This window comes from Homo sapiens, chromosome 2, assembly GCF_000001405.40.
Source record: "Homo sapiens chromosome 2, GRCh38.p14 Primary Assembly".
NCBI lineage: Eukaryota > Metazoa > Chordata > Mammalia > Primates > Hominidae > Homo > Homo sapiens.
In genome coordinates, this window is record NC_000002.12 from 50,507,395 (window position 1) to 50,533,280 (window position 25,886).

At 35.2% G+C, this 25,886-nt stretch overlaps 1 protein-coding gene across 15 annotated transcripts in view; it reads right to left on the reverse strand.

Moving 5' to 3' along the window:
- NRXN1 (neurexin 1) overlaps positions 1–25,886 on the reverse strand; it is a 1,113,630-nt gene that overhangs the window by 588,892 nt on the left and 498,852 nt on the right. For 8 of the 15 annotated variants that reach the window (NM_001330093.2, NM_001330094.2, NM_001330082.2 and 5 more), the window contains 2 exons: positions 23,833–24,036; positions 21,231–21,257 (listed from right to left, as the gene is read on the reverse strand). In NM_001330093.2, the coding sequence (NP_001317022.1) occupies positions 21,231–21,257; positions 23,833–24,036 (231 nt within the window). The remainder of the gene's footprint in view (positions 1–21,230; positions 21,258–23,832; positions 24,037–25,886) is intronic. The other 7 variants (NM_001330096.2, NM_001330087.2, NM_001330083.2 and 4 more) reach the window with 1 other exon arrangement.

A 25,886-nucleotide genomic window follows, 5' to 3' on the forward strand; every position in this document is an offset into this window, starting at 1 on the left:
GCCAATAAAGGGCCAACTGTTGAGCATGAAGGAAAAGTAGTGATATTAAACAACAGTAGAGAGCAAGGGATTACCAGTGGGCATCGAGTGGGCAAGAAGTATAACTGGGAAAGTAACTGCTAGTGAATCTATATAAACCTATGCAAATGAAATTTAAATGGACTCAGCAGAGACATATTATTTCAGAAAGGTGTTTGGTAGAAATTATTGAAATGATTAAGTTAGACTATATCCGTCACCTCAAAAAAAAAAAAAAAAAAAAGCAAGGGAAAATGCTTTTAACATAACCAGATATTTTTATTTAAAAAATAAGTATTTCTACTAATCTGACATTATGAGTCATTGAGAAAAAATAACATTAAAGATACATTGTTTGGTAATGAATTTTTTCCCTGGTGTTTTTTTAAGTATGGAAACATGCTGGTACATTAAAATAATGAAGGGCATTATATCATTGAGTTTCATGTCTTTCAACGAATTGAGAATCAGGATTGGAGTTCACAATTTGTTTAACCAAATTCTGCCAGCAAAACCAATTAATGCCCAAGGATCACGGGAGGATATATGAGAAAGTAAAGATACAGGCCAAGGAGAAGAAGAAAAAAAAAGAGGAGAGCAAGAGAGATCGAGTAAGAGACAGAGAACCAAGTAAAATAAACCTCAGTTTTCCATCCACATGAGATCATTGTTTTCTTTCAGAACTACACCCTATCCACCAGCCTATTGATTTCTCTCTTATGGTGCTACTAATAATTCAAGTGTTGTATCCTTGGCTGGTGTATCTCAGGTTAGAAATGAGCCAGTGATATGAGCTAAATTTTAAAGGATGAATTGCCTCAGTTATTTATATCTGTTTGTATCTTTAGAGAAATTAAATTACAACTCCAGATACATGAATTTAAAACTATTCTAGATATAACAGTTTTAAGAGATTGATGGCTAAATAACTAGAGAAAGCCTGCTAGTCCAGCAACTGCAAAAATACTTTGAGATCAAATGTTGAAAGCAAGTTCCAGGATGAAAAAAAAAAAACTCTTTCTAAATTCAATAGTGAAGAAAGAAGTGTTTAATAACTCTGCAGCATCTTAGCATCCTGCTGGCAGTAAGGGTCATCTTTCATTTTGATCCTTGAAAAGAGAACATATCATTTTAGAGCTATTTTTATAGGGAACTTTTTTTTTTTGTTAGAAATATGTGCTTTTGAAGCAGCTTCACTTCTATTCTTTTCTTTTTTAAATATATTTTGTCAAGGAAAGGAAGCATACATAAGGGTGATATCATCGTTATACCCCATCCTTGGCTTGATCTTGCAGTAAAGTCATAATGCTTAATCTATGCAACAACTATTTCCATAACAACAGGCATAAAATCCAATTAAAAATAACCCTTTGGTTCATAAAAATCTCTGTGCGCCAACTTCTAGCTCCTTTCATGCATTATTAAAATTGTGAACAGATTGATTTTAGAAGATAAGGTTTTTAAAAAGGCACTTAATAGTCTCACTTCAACACAATGTTACCCATGCAACATGAAGTGTAATGGAAAGTGCACTAGACTGGGAGTTAAGAATTGCAGTTGCTAGATCATGATTTCCTACTAAAAAAGAAGTTGGGGGTTGCTGAGTGCTTATTATGTAGCAGGCACTTTGTCTGTTGTCTTGCTTCACCTTTACATTATTAATCTGCAGATGTGAAACTGAAGGCCTATAAAGCTACAACTACTTGTCGCCAGGTCACACAGCTAAAAAGTGGTAGAACCAAGTTTCATCCTTGGCCTGACCTACTCAAAGCCTGCATGCTTTTCCCTGCATTATTCAGCCTCGTAGTTATGAGAATCTTTGGCTAACAACTTAATTTCTCACTTTCCCCATATTGGAACAAAGGAGATGGAAAAGATCCTCTTTGTGGTGACTCCCAGCTTGCCCTACAGAATGATCACACTGCTAGCAAATCCTACACACCCTCTGCACAAGTCCTGGTGGAAGCAAATCTCTAAGTAATACAATGTCTATCTAGGGATGCTGAAATGACTGTTCCTAAAGATATGACACAGAAGAAGGGACATCATTTTAGGACCTGTCTCCACCCACAATCAGCAATTTGCTAACACACTCAACTTCTGGTGGTCTCAGCATTCCCATCCATAAAGTGAGGAGAGTTTCCAGCTGATCTTTACAGTTCCTTTAGAATTTCACTTTCTCACAGAATTTAACATATACAAACTTGTTAAAGAAAGATGGTTTAACTGTTGAAATTTTGAATTTGAGAGTTTGTCCTCTTGCTATAATTTTAATGGCAAAATTATAGTAACTTCAAGCTGTTAATGACCTTTCAGGATTTCCTTTCCTTTGGGGGATATCAAACCATGCATCAGTTGTGCCAACGTCTTTCTCCCTGCATCAATGTATTACAGACTTAATGTGTGTGTCCCTCAGAATTCACTATGTTGAATTTCTAACCCACAAAGTGATGGTATGAGAAGGTGGGGCCTTCAAGATATGATTAGGTTTAGATAAGGGTGGAGTCCCATGATGGGATAGGGCCCTCACAAGAAGTGGAACAAACACCAGAGCGTCCCCTCTGCCATGTGAGGATACAAAGAGAAGGTGGCTGCCTACCAGCCAGGAAGAAGGCCCTCACCAAGAGCCAAATCTGCTGACACTTCAATCTTTGACTTCAAGCCTTCAAAAAACTGAGGTGAAAAAAAAATTCTGTTGTTTAAGCCATCCAATCTATGGTATTCTGTTGTAACAGCCCAAGAAGACTAACACAGTGGGCAATATTTTAAAGACTTTTAAGAAAGTCTATAGCTGGCTGGGCATGGTGGCTCTCGTCTGTAATCCCAGCATTTTGTGAAGTTGAGGCGGGAGAATCACGAGGTCAGGAGTTTGAGACCAGCCTGGCCAACAGGGTGAAACCCTCTCTCTACTAAAAATACAAAAAATAGCTGGGTGTAGTGGCAGGAACCCGTAATCCCAGCTACTCAGGAGGCTGAGGCAGGAGAATTGCTTGAACCCAGGAGGCGGAGGTTGCAGTGAGCCGAGATCTCGCCATTGCACTCCAGCCTGGATGACAGAGAGAGACTCCATCTCAAAAAAAAAAAAAAAAAAAAAAAAAAAACCACAAAAGAAAAGAAAGAAAGAAAAGAAAGACCATAGCCTTATGTCTATTAAAAGACATCATTCCTTATGTTTTGTAGGGAGTTTTGATTTGTTTGTAATTTTACACTTGATTTTTACTGTAACATATTATTTAAGCCAGATATATTAATTTTTCATTTTATAGTTAAAGAAGCAGATTTAAAAGTGTTGAGCGAATTATTAAGTCTCAAAGGCAGTAAGAAGTAGAGAGAAGACTGAGATTTTGAAATTTTCTATTTTCATTAAAATGTGTTTTCCACAGAAAATGATCTGCAAGTAGTGTAAGAGGTACAACGGGACTGAATGCCCCCAGCTAATATTTCACCAGACCAGGTCAGAATTCAGCTCTACAGGCTAATGTTATATTAAAGAATTTTAGAACTAGGAGGGACATGAGAAGTGTAGAATTTCAATCATCATCTACAAATAAGAAACATGAAGTGCAAAGACATTAGATGACGTCCCCATTGTCACAACTGTTAAATTAAGAAGCATAGGTCTCTAGACTCTCAGTCTAACAAGCTTTTTTTTTTTTAATTATTATTAAGACAGAATCTCGCTCTGTTGCTCAGGCTAGAGTGCAGTGGTGCAATCTCGGCTCACTGCAACCTCTGCCTCCCAGGTTCAAGTGACTCTCCTGCCTCAGCCTCCCAGGGAGCTGGGATTACAGGCACCCACTACCATGCCCAGCTAATTTTTGTATTTTAATAGACATGGAGTTTCACCATGTTCGAGGCCAGTCTGGTCTCGAACTCCTGATCTCTGCCAGCCTTGGCCTACCAAAGTGCTGGAATTACAGGTGCGGACCACAGTGCGCCCAGCCCTAACAAACTTTTAAAAAATTATTCTGTTCATTAGACAATGCTGATTTAGAATGAATTTCTCAAGGCACACCAAAATCTGAGTCTGAGTTTAATAAGTCTGTCAGTGCTTGTCAACAGAGTTTGACCTAATCTATGGTACAACAGCCAAATTTTTTGGCTGGTGATATTCACTGGGTTTGCTGGTGACCCTGTAGCTAAAACCTATTGATAACAGATGGAAGTAGAAGCAGTAAACATTTCAGTTTTCCTTAATTCAGTGTAAATTGAGTGTTCTTCCACAACCTACCCATCCATAAATTCAAGGTGTCTCTAAGATTAACTCCTAAGAAGGGCTGGAGTTAACCCTAACTTGAGGCATGGTACCGACAGAGGAAAATGTGTGTTAGCAAGTATATGTGTGTATGTGGGTGTGTGTGTGTGAGAGGGATAGAGAGAGAGACACACACTCAAAAGATGGTAGATTTTTGGCCATTTTAGTAACCACATTTGCTAATGACTTTTACTTCCATTTTCACATCAACATGATTCTTAGGTTTCTTTAAATATTAGTCTCAGAACAAAGGAAATTTCATGCTATAATTTGTAGTTATGGGAGGTAATGGTAAAGAAAATTGGATTTTGTCCCCAGTCTGTCATCAACTAATTATGTTACCTTGAAGACGACATGTATTCTCTCTATTCCTATTTTTATCTGTAAAATGATAATCCCATATAAAAGCATATTAAAAAAAAAACTTTCCTACAGCCAACTTCAAACTATTGTCATTCTTAGAAGGACCAAAACTACCTCGCGGCTACATGAAAGAGTGCAATGTTATAGTGAATATCTCTAATGGTGCAAGCTTTTTATTTTTATTATTACTGTTACTAATTTCATCACTTTTGTTTTGGCACAGTAGGCAGAGAGCAGACCAAGCCTTAAAGAGGCTCTTCTACCCAAGAATTACTACACTCAAGTGAAGCCAGAGGACAATATTAATACGTGCTAGAAAATGTGTTTATTATTTTATATAGTCAAATTTTAATGGTGATAACTTTTTTCTTTTGACAACATGTAATTATGTTACAACTATTTTTGTTAATCACTATAAATTTTGTTAATCACTATAAATTATATTTGAAAGTACTGAAGCACAGACTACTAAGTGAATGTATTTAAGAAAGAAAGAATAGCATTCAAGGGATGCATAGCTATGCTACTTAGTCCAGCTCTCCTTTTACAGACATCTCCATGGGAGGTTAGTTGCCTTGCCTCTGTCTTCCTTGTTATTGGCAGGATGAAACTAATGCCTGGGTCTTGAACTTATTTAGGACCTAACATGCATTACCTAATTGTCTGGCCAAAGTCAGAGAGGGTAAACATTCTTTGACCTTTGCATATCATTCCTTTCCCTATTTATATTTTTACATATTCAAAAAATATTGTTCTAAATACATTTTAAACAAACCCACCTGCTTTGGATAGCAGAATCAGTACAATTTACAAAGAACCTCACTGCCATACACAGTTTCGGAAGCAGTGATGAAACGGGTGTGTTTTTTCACATACCTCTTTACATTTGGTTCAAATGTAGATTCTCATATATTTCAGGGGAGATCTGCATGCATCATAAGAAAAGCTTGAACTTGGTTGAGAGTTATATAAACTTGGATTTGAAAGCAGGTATTGCATTTTCTGGTTGCTTAGGCTTGGGTATGTTAGCTTCTTTGAGCTTTCCTTCCATCATCTATAAATGTGAGATAATAATGCCTACCTTATTTCATAGATTTGTTGTAAGGACTAAGGGATATAACAAATCTAATGTGTTTGGTGCTTTGCACTTTGTGTAATCTCAATGAATATTAATTTCCTTTCTCTCCTTTTTATGGAAAATAAGTTAAGTAACAGTGCATGAGTTCTGCAAACCACCAAAGGATCTACCATTAAAAAATGGTTGACAGTCAAATACACTATACACTATATAAAAATGTATATTGAAAGAAACATCCACAATTTTTATTTGAACACGCACACTGCAGTCTAGTTTTTTGAAATTAGGCCTCCCAAAGTCAAATTTTTTGGAACAGTTGCCATTTTAACCTGAGATTTCACAGTATTTGTGTTTGGTTATTTAATTCCTAAGCATTCACCCTGAATATAAAAATAAATGTAAAATACACTTGCAAGGGAACCTGAAATAGATCAATAACGACATGCTTAATCTTGCTGGGTTAAAATAAGATGTACATGATACTAAATTTGGATGCTTTTTGCTACAAAGCCTTCTGTGCAAATATCTTGTGAACAATTTATACTGGTTTATGAATGTGGAGGGAAAATATAGTGAAGAGAAATAGAGAAGAATAAAACAAAGCTGAGACCCTTTCAAGCAATGGAAGCAAAGACCTCTAAGAGACAAAACTGGCAGATGCCTCTGGAACTGAAAGGTGGATGTAGCTGTACAGAAACTTGAAAAAAAACAAAAACAAAAACCCATAGCAGTTATATTTGGAGTTTTAAACTCTTAGATGTATGTGCCCCAAGTGTAAACTCATTGCATCTCTACACACCCTTTAGGTAGCTTTCTCCCTCTAGTGGTGCATATATTTTAAAGAGGTTAACTACATAAATGAACTATCTTTATGGTGTACCCTGCTTCTGGTATATATATACTCTGGTACAGTGCAAACCAATTGGTTCTAAAGTTCACTTTATTTGTCTAACATATTCATTGTAATTTCTACTTTAAAATTCTACCTAGTTATTTCAGTGGTTAATCTGACTTACTCAATTAAACCATTTATCGAGCATGAAGATTTTGATGGGTATTTCTGCAAAACCATCACCTAACAAATTGCACAGATGATGGACAGGCAGGAATTTTTTAAAAATACTAGAATCACCTTATATGTATAAATTGGTTCTATATTTATACATGATTGTTCAATATATTTAGACCTACAGCACCTGGTAATTGAATTAGGAAGAGAAGTTACAGTACCATAGCATCTGAGAATTATAAAATTTTAAAACTGAATGGTCCATATTGTGTCTGTTGTTTATCCCATTTAGCTACTCATTTATTCTGGGTTCCATGGCACCCATATGCTATTAATTTTGTTTAAAATTTATTTTGTGCCAAATACCGATCTCAGCATTGGGAATATCCGAGTTACAGTCAAAGGAACTTACATTCTAATAGGTCAGAAGTCAAAACACTTTTTCTGTAAAGGGCCAGACAGTAAATTTATTTGACTTTGCCGACCATGTGTTCACCATTGCAACTCTTCAACTTTACTATTGCAATGTAAAAGCAAGCATAGAATGTATGTAAACAAATGGAGTGGCTGTGTTTCAGTAAAGCTTCATTAAAACAGGGAGCTAGCTTGAGAGCTATAGTGTTCAAGACCCTGTAAGATAAACACGTATAGATAATTTAAACGTTTCCCATAAATTCTGCATTGCATATTAAAGAATAACAGAAACATACTCAAGAATTTAAGTGCGAGGAAACCTGAGTTTTAGATTCGATATTGCCACTAACTGTAACATAACCTTAAAAATACTAATTCTCCTAACTTTTTTACTGCTGTTTGTTTTCTTAAGAAACAACTAAAATCAATTTTTAAAGGCTTTAAGCCCGGGCTCCCCACCCCCCAGGCCACAGACAGGTACCAGCCTGTTAGGAAGCATGCCGCACAGCAGGAGGTGGGCAGCAGGCAAGCCAGAGAAGCTTCATCTGTATTTACAGCCGCTCTCCATTACTCACATCACCATCTGAGCTCCACCTCATGTCAGATCAGCAGTGACAACCGATTCTCACAGGAATGCAAACCCTATTGTGAACTGCACATGCAAGGGATCTAGGTTTCATGCTCCTTAGGAGAATCTAATGCCTGATAATCAGTCACTGTCTCCCATTACCCTCAGATGAGACTCTCTAGTTGCTGGTAAACAACCTCTAGTTTTACTGATTCTACCTTATGGTGAGATGTATAATGATTTCATTATATATTACAATGTAATAGTAATAGAAATAAGGTGGATGATACATGTAGTGAAATTCAATTATCCTGAAATCACTCCCGTCTGTGGTAAAATTGTCTTCCATGAAACCAGTCCCTCATGCCAAAAAGTTTGGAGACCACTGCTTTAAATGACACAAATCAATTGCAAAGTCCTTCTACTTATAAAATCTAGGATAAATTAGGTTCCTTTCCTTTTCTGCAAATTTAGAATAGAAACATTCATTAAATGCTTGGGGTGTGTGTGTGTGTGTGTGTGTGTGTGTGTGTGTGTGTGTGTCTGCATGCACCTTTGTTAAAAATTTGGTTATTAGGTTTCTACGTATATCAACTTTTCCAGGTACTAACAAGTTTTATTTGGCAGTTGACTTTGGGGACTGTAGTCTCTGGGGTGAGGCAGGACCTTGTGAGAAGCTGGAAGCAAGCCTTGTCATTGTGACAATGATGAGAAGATGGAAGCAGGAGCTACCACTGCTTGATGCCTGAGTCATAGTTGCTGGCAGCAGTACTTCCTACCTACAAATGATGAGAGGATATGTTTCCCAGGTTGTAATTATGACACCTTCAGCCTACTATTTGACTTTCCCATTACTTTCTGGTTTTAAAGTAATCTGTCCTCCAGTTAAAAAAATTCAAAGGAGATTAACTCCTCATTACAGGTTTCTATTTTATCCTTCTCAATTTTTAGGTATTGAGTTGTGAGTGAAACCTGTTTGTTTTAATTTTTCACAAGAATCAGCTAGAACATTCAATTACAAATTAAATTTAGACATGTAAATGGCACTTCTAAATTTTCCTTTTTCTGCCTCTTAACATTACTAGAGGCAGGATGAGCCACATAATTTGAGAGTCCATTGCAAATAAAAATGTGGAGTCCTTATTCAAAATTAAGAATTTCAAGATGGTAGCAGTGGAGCATTAACCCAAGCACAACACAAGCTCAGCATATGGCACGGTGTGACTGCATAAGTTGTATGCTGTTGAAGCCAGTTCTTTTTAGGAGTATAAGTTTTGTGCTTATTTATTTTTGATGCTTCCTTTAGTAGATTCTACATTCAGGAATGAGCAGACAAGGCTGGAGGCAAAATTCTTCATTTATCTATGTGAGAAGCATAGTTGAGTCACCTTCCCCAGAGTATCCACACTTAATGACATGGTCTCTGGGGTATCAGAGAAGCTGTCTCAGGCTTGTTTTGCTGGCCAGGCCTGGTGCCAATCATGAACTGGGCTTGGTGATACACCAATAACCCTCAGAACCAGGAAGCAAAACTACCTGCTGACCCATGTAACTCCTTTCTCTTTTCCTTCTCTATTCCTCCTCAAGTGCTCCTCAATTTAGCCAAGGATATACCCTTGAGAACTATTCAGAATGTCCCATAAAGAGATGCTTGCCTCCTTTTTTTTAATAAGCAAAGAGATAGAGTCCTAAGGACAGACACATTTCTTTATGCTAAAAATACTAGAAATACTCATCCCAGTTAAAAAGTACTTTGACTAAATGATATAAAGTCAGACATTCAGCTTGATGTTTGTTTTTCAAAAATGAACACTAATAACAGAGAAAGACATTTTATAAACTTTAAAAAATCCACTGGAGAAATTAAATAGTCATGTGCTGACCAACTATATTGCATTTATTTTTTGACCCACACAGACTGTTGAGTTTTATCCTGGTTCTACAAGTTATTAGCTGTGTGACCTTGAGCAACCTTCTTACTTTCTGCATGCCTCAGTATCCTCATATATCTCATAAGCTAATACTAGAAACAATGTAAATGGGTTTCATGCATCTTAATAACTCAAAACTACTTTTAATCAAAGGTTTAATGCATCTTAATAACGCAAGAAGCTTACCATAATCTGATTTATGGTAAGCTTTCAATTATAGTAGTGATAAAAGTAACTATCATCAGTATTATGTTGTCATTTTTATCTTCTCCTCAATGAGTTTAAAATCTCAGAGAAAATATGATATAGCTCAGTGCCTTGAACATAACGGCAATTCACTAAGTATTTGTTGAATGGGTTTATTTGTGTAAACTTTGTGGGACTTTTTTTTAAATGGTAGATGAAATACCCCTTGATATTAAATTAAGCCAAGTAGTTGATGAAAAGTAACTCCATCTTTTAATGCCTCCATTCACTAAGAAAGGTAAATATAAAGAAAACTCTGTCCTCCTGTTTTCATATTTAGCAGGATGGAATTTGGTAACCCCTACAGTTGGAGAACTTGAGTAACTCAGTTATCTGGATAACTATTTGGACAGCTTTTTCGCTCAGTTACATTGAAAATAAACTTCATGATGCATACAGCCTAGTGGAACAAAATGACCTAAGGTTAGCAGTGAATAACTTCCGAGTCCAAAGGAAATAGTTGGCTTAGAAATTGGGGGAACTCAAAACTTACTGAGTATTTAATTATAAAAAAACACAGATCTTGTCCTCAAGTGGATGTGACCTTGGAGAGTTGTTGGAAACACCCTCCAGAGACTTTTCTGCCATTTTCCTAAATGATAGCAAACTTATTCTATTATCTACAAAATAAATTTCAGTATTTCTCGATGCTTCACCTCCTGCTCTATTTCTTCTGGCCTATAAATATCATTGCCTATGCAAACGAATAAACAAGGTTAAAATCACCTACTTCATCTACTAAGAAACATTAAGCCTCTGTAGTTTTGTCATTGATTGTACCCATTTATGACAGACAAGGATAAATATCTCTTATGTAAATATATTTCAATGCGAAAAACATACATTTTAAGAATTATAATTTACTTTTTAAGAAGAGAATTACATTTACAACACAGTAAAAATGAACACAAATTAAATAAATATATTTCTAGAAAAAATGTTCTAAAACTAGCAATCTTTAAATCTAATCTAGCTCAACTGGCAAGTTTAAGAAGTATAATAAAATAAGCCTAATACAATGAAAGTAACAATTCAGACTGTGATTTTATTTTTTTCAAAAGGTCAATTCCAAGGGATGCTTATCACATAACAGGACAGCTAGCAGATATAAAATTGAGTACTAAATAGTTCAATTTGCTTTTGAGTAAGCATTAAAAACTGAAAATGTATTCAGTGTTTGTGTAGTGTTAAAGAAAAGGGTTATACTGATTTATAGTAATACTCATTTAATGTATTTTCTGCAATACATACACAATGCCAAGTTGTCTGAATAAAAAAAAATCAAAAAGCATATGGGTCCTGAGCATTTGGATATTTACAAAATGTAAACTGATATTCCATAAACGAAGCCATGGATTATAGTCACAAATGCATTTTTTTAAAATTAAATATATCATTCCATGTCTAAATACACCACTGTAATAGTTATAGCATTTTTTTAATGAGGTCAAGAAGGATGTACATTTTTTCATAATTCAAGATCAATGAATTTACCTTTTACTTTCCATTTCTTCTTAACATAAGGATAGCTGAATATTATTAAGTACATGACTGAATTCACAAAATTTAGTTCATCCTCAGTATTTTTGAGATATTCTAGTATAAACTTTTTCCAAAAGTAAGAAGCATATTAGAGAAAAAAACCCTAAGTTTCTGCCTTTATTAAGTTTATTTATTTTTTCTTCCTTTCTTTTTACTGGGAAGTCATTATAATGCGTAGAAATCTATTTCTCAGTATTGTCAACTTTATGGACCTATTTGCTTAAAGAAAACAAATTCTAAGAAATGTGACAATTGATGAATGGTAGCATCTCGTGTCTTGCTTTCTTTTTGTTTCTTTACATAATGATTGTTCAAATGAAGGCTATGGACAAACTGTACATGATTATTAATGCATTCATCATGTGAACATTCGAATGCAATATATTTTTTCTAAGCAATGATATAATTATTAGCTAAACCCTTCTTTATTTGAATTTTAAGATTTTAATGACAGTGCTAACTTAATTGTTTTCTTTAATCATCACTGGATTATTTATTAAGCTAGCTTTTAGTCAGTGGCTTGAATTCTATGATTCTCTTTGACCATTTATTTTAGTAATTGAAAAATATTGGAATTAATTCTTTGAAGTTATCTTTGGGCAAATGTCTTCTGAAATGAATGGCTCACCTTATGCTCCAGGAAATGTTCTAAAATGGCAATTGTCCAACTATAACAATAACTTAGCAATTAAATCTTAGGCCAAATTAACTTGGTTTATCTGAAGAGACAGTGTGTGAAGGTTCCTTGGAACTGGTCAAACCACTGATAGAAATGTTGAGTTATGTCTCTGTGCCTGTTTCTGGTTGATCTTCCTAAGGTAAGATTATGTTAGATTTTCTATTAGTAGGTTACAGTCAAGGACGATAACTTATACTAACACATCTAGAAGCATCTTCTCATGTGTGGCTATTCAAATCTGGTTTATTTCTCATGATCTTGTTCACAGATGCTCCCAACCAGTTATCATCTGAGAAAACTGAGATCACTGAAGAATCATGGTATAATTTCCATTGGTAGACATATTTTTCCTCCCTATTATATGTTACTTCAACTGGCTCAGTGACCTGGAATTGCTTTATATAACCTTGGCATAAAATCTAAGAGAAACAATAGATTACATTTAAAAATATTGTATGTTTTAATCAAAGACAGGACATAATGTTTACAAGATGTTGCTAAAATTAGAGAACGGGGTGCAAAACATTCCTATACCATGGCTCTATATTTTTAAAGAAGCACATATTATACCATGTGTTATATATTAAGTACATAATGTGCCAAGTATTATGTGCTATAAGGGCATTTAAGACATTAATAAAACTTTTCTGTGAAAATTGAAATCCTAGGCTACTTTTATGTATTTTCTGTTTCCTTTAGCCTCCAAATATGAATACTATTTCTGATTAGGAACAAAATGTTGTTCTGAAAGATATTCATTCTATTTTGAGAGTCAAAATTAGTAGGAAATTTAGCCTGTAAATTAATTTAAAATGTACATGATGTATTACAAATATATGATCTAGTGTAGCTTTATCCTAAATATTGGTGGGATTGGTTTAAATTATATTTTACTTTTACCCACTTTTGATTTTTTAATCACAATAGCAAAGAAAAAACATTGTAGAAATTATAGATGATGAATAGAAAAAAAAACTAAAAATTACCTCAATCTCACCAGCAGATATAAACATTTAGAGGGATATACTTCCAGAAACATAATAGAAAAGCAATTTTGTTATGAAGGTCCCTTGCCTGTTCCATAATTGATAACTCAAAAAAAATAGGAGATGCTGATTACTTCTTCACTGCCTATTGGCTGAACTAATTTTACTTAATTGATTGCATAAAGAATTTCTTGATTACCAATATATTATTTTTAGCAGTATAAAATTTCTCAGTTGATTTATTAAACAGAATTTATTTTATGGGGTTTCTACAATTTTTATTTATTGTACTCATCATAATGGTCTAACTCCATATTTATCTGCCTATTTCAACACTATTAGGTGAATATGTCTGACTACTAAGAGAACACCTGCATTATTTGATTTAAAAATTTCTTTTTTATTTTCTTTACTAGAAACTTATAATTCATGAAAAATCTGTAAAAACAACTTTAAGACATGTCATTACAGTATGTTTGTTCTATAATATTTTGGTTTTAATTTTTACATGCATAAACTACTTCCTTTGCGCCTACTGAAATGTAAAACATTTTAGAATTCTTTAAGTTGTATAGAAGTTCATACTTATTTACACTGGAAACTTCCTGGTTCCAAAGCTGGTTGATTTCTCCATGTATTTGAAAATTTAATGGGTGCACTTCACTAGAAACCTACATTCTTCGTAAGCAACATTTAAAAGGGATTTTGTTAACTCATATCTTAAATCACGCATTTCAAAAGCAATTTTAACCATAACATTTATCTGTAGAAAAAGGCAATTGTCTTTGAAATTTAATTAATTTCAATAGTACTATGCATAAAATATTTCGAGTCTGTATTTAGACTGATATCCTGGGAAGTGCAGTTGGAGAGTGAAGAATTTCCACAATTGTATGAATGATGAACTCAAAGAACAAGTAATAATAAACAATCCAATTTTAAGTACATTAAAAATAAAGTAATTTAGCCTTTTAGTATTTCTTATTCATCTTCAGGAAAACTGTTTTCATAATGCATTTCTTATCCATCTTGCTTTTTGCTCACATTGTTAATAAGTAAAAGAAGTGGATAAGAGTTCTGAGCACACAAAACATTTCAATCTCCAAATTCTTTGACCGTCCCCATGATTTAAAGAGCCTTGCCCACTTGACTTATGTACCACATGTTAGCCAGTAATCTGTTGAACAGATTGTAATTCTCATGGGTATTTTATAGCTAAACTGAAAACAATTTTCAGTCAGACAACATATAGAAAAGATGCTTGTGTAGAAAGCTTGCTGCTCCTACATCTGCTCTGAGGAGAGTGTATCATGTGGCCTCTATTCTAATGACAGCTATTTGGATCACCAGTGGATCCAATTGGATCCAGCAACTGGATCATCTGCCACCAAAACTAAGATCTGGTGAGTAGCTTATGGGGCGACCTGAACTGAAAGATTTGTCCAACGGGACAAGGATAAGTAATAGATTCACTAGATTCTCTTTCTAGAAAAGTCGAATATACAACATATAGAGAGTATACAGCCAGTGAAAGGGATGACAGAAAGAAAGAGAGAGAGCAGAAAGGAAGAAAAGGAGGGAGGAAGGCAGAGAAGAATACAGTAAAGGAAGGAAGAGAAGAAACTCAAAACAATGGAGGAAGTGGGGTATGTTTAGAAGCAGCTCTTCATAACGACAACAAATAAAAACATCTGGCCAACATGCTGTGTTCTCTTAGATTTGGGGATATTTGTATAAAAGAAACTCCCTTTTCACAGAAACTAATAAGAGAATATCAAGTTTAGAATGTTTCTTCTAAAACTTTCTTGGATTTTATAATACTTTTTACCTAGGCAATTGTTATAATGCCGACTCTCAACAATTGAAGAGAATTTGATCAATTTGGTCAACACTCAAGAATGTTGCATTACTTTGAGAGTCTCTGCAGTATCAATAATGCTTAACGTGAATAAATTAATAACTGTGCTTGGTTTCAACATGCATTCTTAAACTGCACAAGAGTAGTTTTTAGAATATCACAGCATTTTATATTTGCATATAAGCAATCAGTAGATTAATCATTCACTAAAATAGACCAAAGCAATCTACTTTTCAACCACTCACAGTATCATTCTGTTGCCTAATCCATGTAGTCATCTAAATATGCAATGAAAGCTGTATTCTTCTTTACAATTCTCATAAGTTTAAACATGTGGATAATTTAAATGGGCTTCCATTTATTCATTTATTTTTATTCATTTTTTTTTTTTTTTTTTTTTTTTTTTTTTGAGAGGAGTCTTGCTCTCTCACCCAGGCTGGAGTGCAATGGCGCAACCTTGGCTCAGTGCAACCTCCGCCTGCCAGGTTCAAGCAATTCTCCTGCCTCAGCCTCCCAAGTAGCTGGGATTATAGGCACCTGCCACTATGCCCTGCTAGTTTTTTTGTATTTTTAGTAGAGACGGGGTTTCACCATGCTGGTCAGGCTGGTCCTAGAACTCCTGACCTCAGGTGATCCACCCGCCTCAGCCTCCCAAACTGCTGGGATTACAGGCGTGAGCCACAGCACCCAGCCTCAATTTCGATATTATTCTAAAGACTCATTGCCATGTGCCAATACACTGCCTGTTTTTATTTGTTTTCTGTCAGAAATCTATGTTCATTCTTTACATTTTACATGCAATTTTTTTTGATTTTTGCTGAAAATAATAATTTATAAACTTTCTTTTCATTCCCTTCACATATACTTTAAGTAAAACAACACAGAAACAACAACAAAAAACAACGAGACTTCTGTTTTCTTTATTTATACTTTGAACTTCCCTTATTCCTTGAGCAGCTTCTATCCTAGGCAGGTGGATAGCACCAGTCACTGACAGGCAATGACTGGCAGAACTCCACAAATCAAGTGACTGCTGTGTGAAGGCAGAGGCGAAAGACTCCCTTTTACAGTTTTCTGCTCTCAGGCATCAAGCAGCGACTCTAAACTGAATATTTACTTTATGTTAACAAGCTCCAGCCCCTAGAAATTTCCTCATATCTTTTTAAGTAGCTTCTCAAATGGCAGCCTGATCAAAGCAATCTAATATGGCTTAAGTGCCAGTGGTTGACATTTTGCATTCTTTTATTGCTTTCCATTTTTATCTACATAAAAATTGGTGATAACTAATATCCATTTGATCTTTTCATTCTGGTAATAAAATGGTAATACAAAGATCTTATTATCTACTCCAGACATCCATCAAAGTACATTTTTCAAAAATATACTATGTGAAGTGTTTCTTCCCTATACCCAAGTCAAAAGCGAGGTCAAGTACTTGTCCTTAGATGCCCCTTCTCTCCAATACTTGGGCACTGGACTGCAAATAGGAATTGAACTTCAGCCCTTGATGCTTTGTTCACACTAATGTTATATGTAATTGTGTTGTCTCTGCCTCTTAAATACACTATTTTCTGTGAGAAGCCAAAAGTACTTGGAAGGTCTGCTTAAATATTTTTTTTAACTCCAGAGTTTTTATTCTTCTAAGAAGACAAGAAAAAAGATAACGGAAGAAACAATACTGGAAATGAAGAAGTAAGAAGAGTGAATCTTAATAGAAAGAAAGGAAGTGCAGGTAGGTGGGAGAACAGACAAATGTAATAAGGCATAAAGAAAGCCACATAATGCAAACAAAACAAGCCCCAGAGATCATGAGTTTATTAAATCTATTTTTATATGGATGCAGAAGTGTCCCTGAGGACGGGTGTGGTGGCTCACGCCTGTAATCCCAGCACTTTGGGAGGCCAAGGCAGACAGATCACCTGAGGTCAGGAGTTCGAGACGAGCCCGGCCAACATGGCAAAACCCCATCTCTACTAAAAATACAAAAATTAGCCAGGCATGCTGGTGCACGCCTGTAGTTCCAGCTACTTGGAAGGCTGAGGTAGGAGAACTGCTTGAATCTGGGAGGCGGAGGTTTCAGAGAGCTGAGATTGCACCACTGCACTCCAGCCTGGATGAGAGAGCAAGAGTCCATCTCATAAATAAATAAATAAATAAATAAATAAATAAATAAATAAATAAAATAAAATAAACGAAGTGTCCCTAAGCCTTCCAGTGAACAAGAAGGTCATTCCGTAATTATGCCATTGATTTGGAAAAACAAAAAGAATAGAAAGCATAAGAAAACCAAGAAACACAAAAGGCTCCCTGAATCCACTGAATCCACTGCATATTTAAAGTAGTTACTGATATGACAATTAGGACTTACCTATAGTTGATAGGAGCAAGTTTAGTTTTCAAAATTTCAATGTATTTACACCTCAAAAGATTATAGGTCTAACGATTTTTAAGGTTACCAGAAGAAGAGAGAAAGAAAAAAATGGCACTACTTAATCATGCAGTACATCACAAAAAAGGCCAAATTTTCAGAAAAAAAATACATAGAAACACATAGCCTAATGAGTTTGGATGTATCGTTTGGAATTATTGGGCACCAAACTTGAAATTGAGACCATCATTATAACTCTGAGATTGACATTAGGCTATGTGCTTTGGCAGATATAAAGAATGCAGAATGAGACTAATGTCCTGTACAGAACCTACTAACAATGCACTTGAGAAAATTTCACAAGCAATAGAAAATTCTTTTTGCATTCTTTATCATTTTTAAATGACTTACTAAAGTCATTTAATACTATGGACCAGGCAAGAGACTGTAAAACAGTCATCTTCTCATGCAAATAATTCACGTGCTAGTCACAAAAGCACCTTGTTCAATATGATTTAAGGTTTCAACAATGATTTGTTAATATTTAGTTTTTGTTAGTACAGATTTCTTTGATGAGTTTTAAAATAGCCTACAATTTGTGTTCCTTCGTTAATTCAGATAGTTTTTTCCTTTTTATGTTAAAAGAATGTGACTGTACAGTCCCTTCCCATCTACCCTTATTAAAGTATCCTTCACTGTCTAAGAAAGAAAGAGGAGGCAAGGGTAATCTGATTGTCCTTCTATTCCTATCCTGGACAGAGGAGAGTGGTGAGCCATGGATAATTCATTTCTGTGCTCACCTTGCAGCCCATGGATTTGGAAACACTGACCTTAATCTAATCCCAAATTGTAGATAAACATATTTTAGCAATGGTATAAGCTAATGAGCATCAATAAACTGAGACTCGTCTGGGATTGTGTGCAGTCACACTCTGTAATCTGCAAGATCAAAACATACATTTGGCAGTGAAATGGCCATTATTCAGAGAGACAGCTTTTTAAAGAAAGTACCCTATCTATAGCTGAAAATAAGCTTTTTTATTTTTAAATGAAAAGAGGCTCTCTTCTTCCATTTAAGGATGCTTGACAGCTTTTCTTCCCGGGGGGGAAATGGTAGCAATAAGGAATTTGACAGAGATAATACTTGGAATTCAGATCTGGCCTTTCTCAGAGGAAATTTTAACAAAGGGCTGTGCCCTAACATGTCCATGGAAAACTCTGTCACTGCATCTAAACTACTGACACAAGAGTGGCTGAAAAAGAAACATTCATTCAGGTTTGAATACATGTAGCTGGACCCTCTACCCTCCTCACCTCCCACCCATTTTTCACTGGCAAAGATTAGATAGTCTGACACTATGTATATTTTCCATATAAAGTACAAATGCTGTAAACTTGGCGGTGGGGTAGGGAAAGAGAAAATGACTATAGGAAACAGCAGCACAATTTTAAGTAAAAGTAGAAAAGTGTTTCTGGGGAAGTTTCCATTCAAACGTAATAACTTAGAGTTTAATATTAGTCTTTAATGTAAGATAATCTTTTATGTTTTACTTTGTATATTTCTTGTGATAATTTTCTTAAAAGATATCAATTGAGGTATTTCATATTAATTTCACAATACAGTTGATAGCTTAGGTATGGCACAATTTTTAGAGATAATGGTGTTATCGGCTGTGATTTAATAAACGTACATTAATTTTCTCAGTCTCAGACAAACCTATGGCTCACAGAGGACACATGTAATAACTCAGTCTTTCATTAAACTGCAAGTTATACTGAGATACAGATATTGTTAATTTAGTTTTTATTGAGTACAAAATGCACTCCAGGTAGAAATCACTGCTCATTTAATCACTGTGTGTTAGGTTTGCATTATCTGGAATGTAAATTCCTCCCTTTCCTCAAAGGTGAGTCTTTTTTATGGAACTTGGGTTTCTTACTACACCTGCTCCCTATTCCCCAAATAAAACAGAGGCAAAGGAAATGAAAATGTTACCTGTTCATTGAATGTTCTTTCCAGTGACTGCTGTCAAGTTAAGGAATGTGCAGTCCTGTCCGATGTGTACACTGGAGGCTCACAATCATTAATTGAATTCAAGTATCACATACTCATTAAAAAGGGAAAACAATTCACTAAACAGCAAAAACCTTTGTCCTCAAAGGTATTATTCTGTGGAATATCCAGAGGAAAAATAAGACTGTCCTCAATACCAGAGTCTCATGATATAAGCCAAATGGCAAACGAGTCTAACAAGGGTAATTATACTATAAACATACATTTAAAAAATCATTGATATAGCCACAGAATACAGAATCACATGTCATTTGAATAATTTTCATTAATTGCTATACTTTGCATAGTTATATTTTGTAAATTCAAAAATTCATGCCTTGTTGCATGCTTCATATAAATAAAATAAAAAGAGTACATAAGGTAGAGGTCTAGAAAGGAATATTGGTCCCCACAAGGATTTTCTAAGATGCAGGAGGGATCAAGAAAACCTACAGCCAGAGTGAGGCACAGATCTGGCTTTGGCAAAGAATATTTTGTGAGTTGCCACTTTGCCTGCATCTATGCCCCCAGCTGAAAGCAAACTGGACCTGGTATTAGATGTGCAAAATGTATATCCTTTTAGGAATGCATGGAGGAGATAGAGTTGGAGAGGAGATTACATATATTTGAAAAATTCCGCTTACGTGAGAGCTTTGACAGGTTATTTTCAGGAACTATTTTGTTCGAGATCTTTTTAAATGCCTGGGATATTGGTTATAATTTATTAACTTAATTTTTAATAAGTCATCATTCTGTTACTTTTTTATTGGTCTGATTGAACAAACTCATTTTAATGTTATTTTTAAAAGAATATTAAATATATGTGGATAGAATTATGAGTTGTAAGAGGCACAGTGTTTGAAACAGTACGTATTTTATTAGGAAAATAGTCTTGTTTTCGCAAGTTTAAGACCTCTATTTGTTCCTCAGAGGATGCCTTATTGCCACTTGAAAACATGGCCAATGCTGTGGGGAGTAGACTCCATCAACTCACATTCAGCATTGTTTTGAGAATAGAAAAAAATTCTTTACTGTGACAGTGAGAGATTAGAAATTTGTTAGAACCATTTTATTTAAATTGCTGATGACTTTGTGTTGTGATCATTGGAGATTTCTTAATGTGATCAGCAAAACCTGGAAAGAAAAAACCTGAGCATTTATGTACAGAAATAAATAAGTTTACACTTAAGATAATGCCACAACTCAAAATAAAATCACAGTCCTTATATCCTTTCAGATTTTCATCCAAATTCAAAGAAAACTCAGTCCATGCATCTTTTCAGACTCATCAGTTTGCATGCATGTCACAGATTTGAAGGGTTTTGGTTATTTTTGCAGAGATATGATTAGGATGTAAAAATTCATCATATAAACATTCTTAATGATCAAGGAAGAACGTTTTAGACGAGTAATTTTCTATGTCTATGTAAAACTTTAGATGGGTTTAATAGTAACTCTCGAAGTAAGAGGAATTAAGTATTTTTTTTTGTATTTGAGTTAAAAGATAAAGACAAAAGAAAATAAGACCCACAATATTTTCTCCTATTTGGTTATGAAGAGAACAACTGGAGTCTAAAAATGCCACTTGCAGTATCTAAATGTCTATAAGGTGCTGGCACATTCTGTTACAAAACACTTGTCACCTCTTTTTCCATATAGAGGTAGGAACTGCAGTGGGAAAGTCTTCAGCTGTACAAATTTAAAAATGAATTTTTACAACCCAGATGATGGACTGGTATACTTTAAAAGTGAGCTCATGAGTTTTATAAACACATTTCTCTTGCTCTCTCTCTCTCTTTTTCTTGACTAGCTTACATCATAATGGAGGAATAACATTTTAAAAATTTTGAATAGGCACTTACTGGAATTACAGTTAATCCTGATACAATCTAGATGGGGAAGAATAGATGAAAAATGAAAATTCATCCTTCAAGGTAATAGCTGCAGACATCCAATAAAATTACAGTCCACCCTTCCGGGGACAGACACATGCAAATATGGCCACTCCATATCATTATTCTTTACATACTTATAAAGCCCAGATGTTTTGTTATAAAAGTTTACCATTGGAAACAACAATAGAAGGTTTTAAAAATGGCCAATTCAAACAAAGCTACATGGTGACAAATCTAAGTGAAGTAAAGAATTGTTAAATGTCAAAGATGTTTGGCTTAGACTGGCTGCAACTTTCTCCCCATCTGTGAAAGAACATATCATTGTTTTCCGCAAAATGTAAAAGTGCTCCGTCACAATGGGGTACAGTGCAGGTTCAGCTAGGCTCAGACATCTTGGACCTCCGAAATCTAATATCCCACAAAGGCCAACAGAATCCTTCAGAATTGCAGTGGTCAAATGGAAAGCAAGTTAAAATTATTCTTATCTTACCCTAAGGGTTTTTGTTTTGTTTTTAAATTTTATTTGCTTGGGCATAAAAAGGTAACTGCCAGATGTTGGCTGGATTCCATACCTTGCGTTAATTGGAGGAGGAAAGAAACAACTGTATGTTTCCTTTAGAAACTCCAGTGGCTAAGGAGCAGTCATTATTCAAGGCACACAAGCCTATGCCTCTCTTAGGAGCTAACAGTGTTATCTCTGTGTAATAAGTGTCGTGGTTCCCTTGATTTTCCTTTCTTGATTTTCCCTTTCTTATATTTGCTTTATATAAAAGTAGCTACTATAAGAACAGAACGTCTTGTATGGGTAACACAAACTGTAATTATAGTGGTTATTTTTAAAAGACTGTAGGATGTTTCATATTTATTTTATATGTATTTGTTGGTTTGGGTTTTATTATTTAATGCCTTTGGAGAACATAAAAAAATAAACCTAGATTCTGTTTCCATATAGCTGAGTTTGTCATGTGTCGTCAACCGCATCAGAAAAGTGGTTGCAAACAGCCAAGGACCAGCACCTACACACCTCTTTCTACAGAATGCTTTGCTGTTCGAAAATTCTCATGAGTGTTTCCACTTTGACTAACAGCAGCTTTACTGCATGCAATTAGGCGATTTGTTTTGATTGGCTTGTAATAACCTGTCATCGTCACTAGAGGGTACTCTAACAGAACAGTAAAGGAGAGTGCTCTGTGTTCTTAAAGTAGTATTTTTTTAACCTTAATATTTAACTTAATTTCACTAATATTAATTAAATATGATTATATGCAATAAGATACCAATGGGATAATTTTATATTTTATGAGTTATCGTTCTGCCCAGCACAATTTGAAAATGTAGGTGGGGTTTCCACAAATGCCTTGCCTCATCACATTTTATTACTCCTTTTTTGGGGTAAATCTATGTAGTTTCAAATTTCATTTTTCCCTCTCTGTTTATTCATTTCTATATACGTGTGTTTAACACTGTCAAAAATACAGTAAAACCTCATTAATTTTGACTCCTCTTATTTTGAAATAATGATAACACTGAAAATTTGGGCAGAGTATTTATTCTTCCTTTGATATGAGCAAAGATCTCTTAAGAAAAAAAATTAAACTCATAAACAAACAAGACTTTGAAAAGCCAAGCGTGGGAAGAAAACTGATTTCCAATACTTCATGTTGATGGCATAGTTTGCATGAAACGATGTGCTAATTATAATTAATTTTTATCCAACCATTAAAATCAGCCTAGAGAGCCCTTTCCGTGATAAGACTTTCCAAACTATTATGTTTTTGAGTATAATTTATAAAAATAAAAACTGCTTAAACAAATTTTAAAATCTGCAATTCAGACTTTTTCCTAATTCAGCCTGGTTTTTCCCCATAATTCATCTAGATTGGTGAGGTTTTACTGTAATGGGTCTTTCTTAATGCTACAATTAAGCAGGAAAGCATTATCTTTCTGTAGAAGAGCCTGTGTCTCTAGTGTTCTCATGGCTGTTTGCTAAGGGCCGCAGACTTTGGGCATTGAAGGGCTGTGGATCGCTGTTTGATAGCAAAATACCACCACACAGTACTCCGAAACAGAAAAGACAGGGTACCACAAAGGTGATTATTCAAAGGAGAAGCCCATGGAGTAGAGTAAGAACAGCTCTTGATCTAGATAACAAAGCAGAAATTTGATATTTTGTGCAAATCCTTTCTAAGAAGACATGCTTTTATTTATCTGCAAGGATGTCACCTACAACCGATCCAAATGTCAGTGAATATATCAACAGAAAATTCAGCTTGAGGCAACCTCAGGCTTAATAATTTATATTTTCAATTAACCTCACTGACAGACATGGCCTCTCTTTTAAGAACCCTCAGTGGTAGAAATCACAAAACAGTAAGTTATGTTAAACATAAAAAATAAAATAAAAAATAAAAAGATGCCCCCGAAAACCTCAAATTACTTTAAATGATGGAAATAAGACCATTAAGTGTTTTAATTTTCCATGGCAAACAGGCTACTTGATCAATGTTTGCAGGCAAATTGAACAAAAAGTAAAAAAGTGTTAGTTCAATGGGGGAAGGCAGGTTGTTACCTAGATTGACCGTCAGTTTCACACGTCCTGCGTCTAGCTCCAGGCGGAGGGTGTCAGCAGAGTCTCTAGAAGTGGTTGCCATCAGAATGCCATATGCACGCTGGGATCGGAACCGTAAGGAAACATCCTCAGCCTCCGTATGCATGACTACGGGGAGCTGAATTTTCATAAACATGCTCCCATCATAGCTCAAAACCGTTGCCTCTAGAGATGGAAAATGAATATGATAAGTTCTTGGATGGTATAGCGCATTAATACTTTAAAGAGGAAAAGGATCATTTATTATCATTTATTTAAGACTTCCAGAACACAATACTACAAAATCAATTCATCTTCTTCAGAAATAAACAAAACTGTGAGCTGGAAAGAGAAGTCACAGTAGAGGACTTCCCTTGTGAGATATTTGCTAAAGCCCAGAAACAGAGATATCAGCAGTTCCTTTTTTTTTGTTCCCAGAGCACTTTCTACCTATAGCATTAATCATGTTGAATTTTGAGTGTTTGATTATATGCCCCCCTTCTCAAGAGCAAAGATCACGTTCTTTTGTACAGCCACAGTGTGAGCCTAGTTTGAAACACCAGCGAAGTTGTGGATTTTTTTGTTGTTGTTTTTGTTTGGGTTTTGTTGTTGTTTGTTTGTTTGAGACAAGGTCTGTATCCCCTAGGCTGGAGTGCAGTGACAGGATCTCAGCTCACTGCAGCCATGACCTCCTGAGCTCAAGCAATCTTTCCACCTCAACCTCCTGAGTAGCTGGGACCACAGGCGCATGACACCATGCCAGGCTAGCTTATTATTAATACTTTTTTCTAGAGATGGGTCTCCCTTTGTTGCCAAGGCTGGTCTCAAACTCCTGGACTCCAGTGACCCTCTCGCCCAGGTTCCCAAAAGGAACCTGTGCCCAGCCTCCAGCAACTTTTCAATGCATGTTTATGTATGGTAAGCCCACTGACTAGTTCTGTGAAATTAGTCAACCTTGCCTTGGCTCTGAATTATTCATCTGCACAATGAGAGGGTACTGCCAGAAGGTTTCTCAGGGCTTTGATCTGTTCTGAAAACCTGTAGTTCTAGGAGAAGTTACTGTCATCATTTTTTTTTCATAATCTCTGCCCTGATAGAATTATTTTTAAAAGAAAAAAAAAAGAAATATAGCTTAACTATAGGAACTAGGCCAATACTTTACCAAAGGTGATGTTCAAAAAGAAAAAAGAAAAACTGATATTACCAAACAACAGATAATACTTCTTTTGAGCCATTATGTTTAGCAAGGTAATTTTTACAAAGGCTTCCTTTTAAGGAACTGTTACTTCCTTTTAAGATTAATTTATAGAAGGGGAGTAACTTTAAATATTATCTATAAGCACAGCCCTGGTGTCCTGAATAAGTTCTCATGCAAAGCAGTAATGATGTGCTTTTGCTACACTAAATAAGCATGGGGGTGGGACTGGGGAGCTTGTGAGGATGTTTGTTACTAAACTAAGGCAGATGGCATCAGTAGGGAAGTTGCTTAGTACTGTCTTAAACACACAAAGAAATGAATAAAAAAAAAACTGTTGATGACAACCTGACGGCTTTAAGAAATAGTCAGGACTCCTTAATGTTAAGCACCATATGGTAGTGGAATATTGCAAAACAAGCGTGAATCAGTTTGCTTTCTCATTGGTTCCGATAACTCAGGATGCTACTTAATAAAGAAAAACTACCTGGAATTAAAATGAACCAGGAAATTTTCATTATTTTGCCTACTTACACAGCATAGCAATTAAGTGTACTGATACAACTGTGTTCAATATTAGGACTATATTTAGAGTTGTGGTTTTGTAAGTTTATTTTTCAGAAAGTCAAGTACTGTTTCTATAAGACTTTAATCACTATTTGTTGTCATGATGGGATTAAGTGAGAACCAGAACCTCTCTAAGCACTGAGTGTTCCAGGTCTCCCTGCTTAGGTTAGCTCCCTTCTCTTTTCCATCTACCTCTTGACTTAAGAGATCTCAGTCAACTCATATGCTCACTCCTCTAATATTTATTAAGCGTTCTGACTTCTCTCCTGAGCTG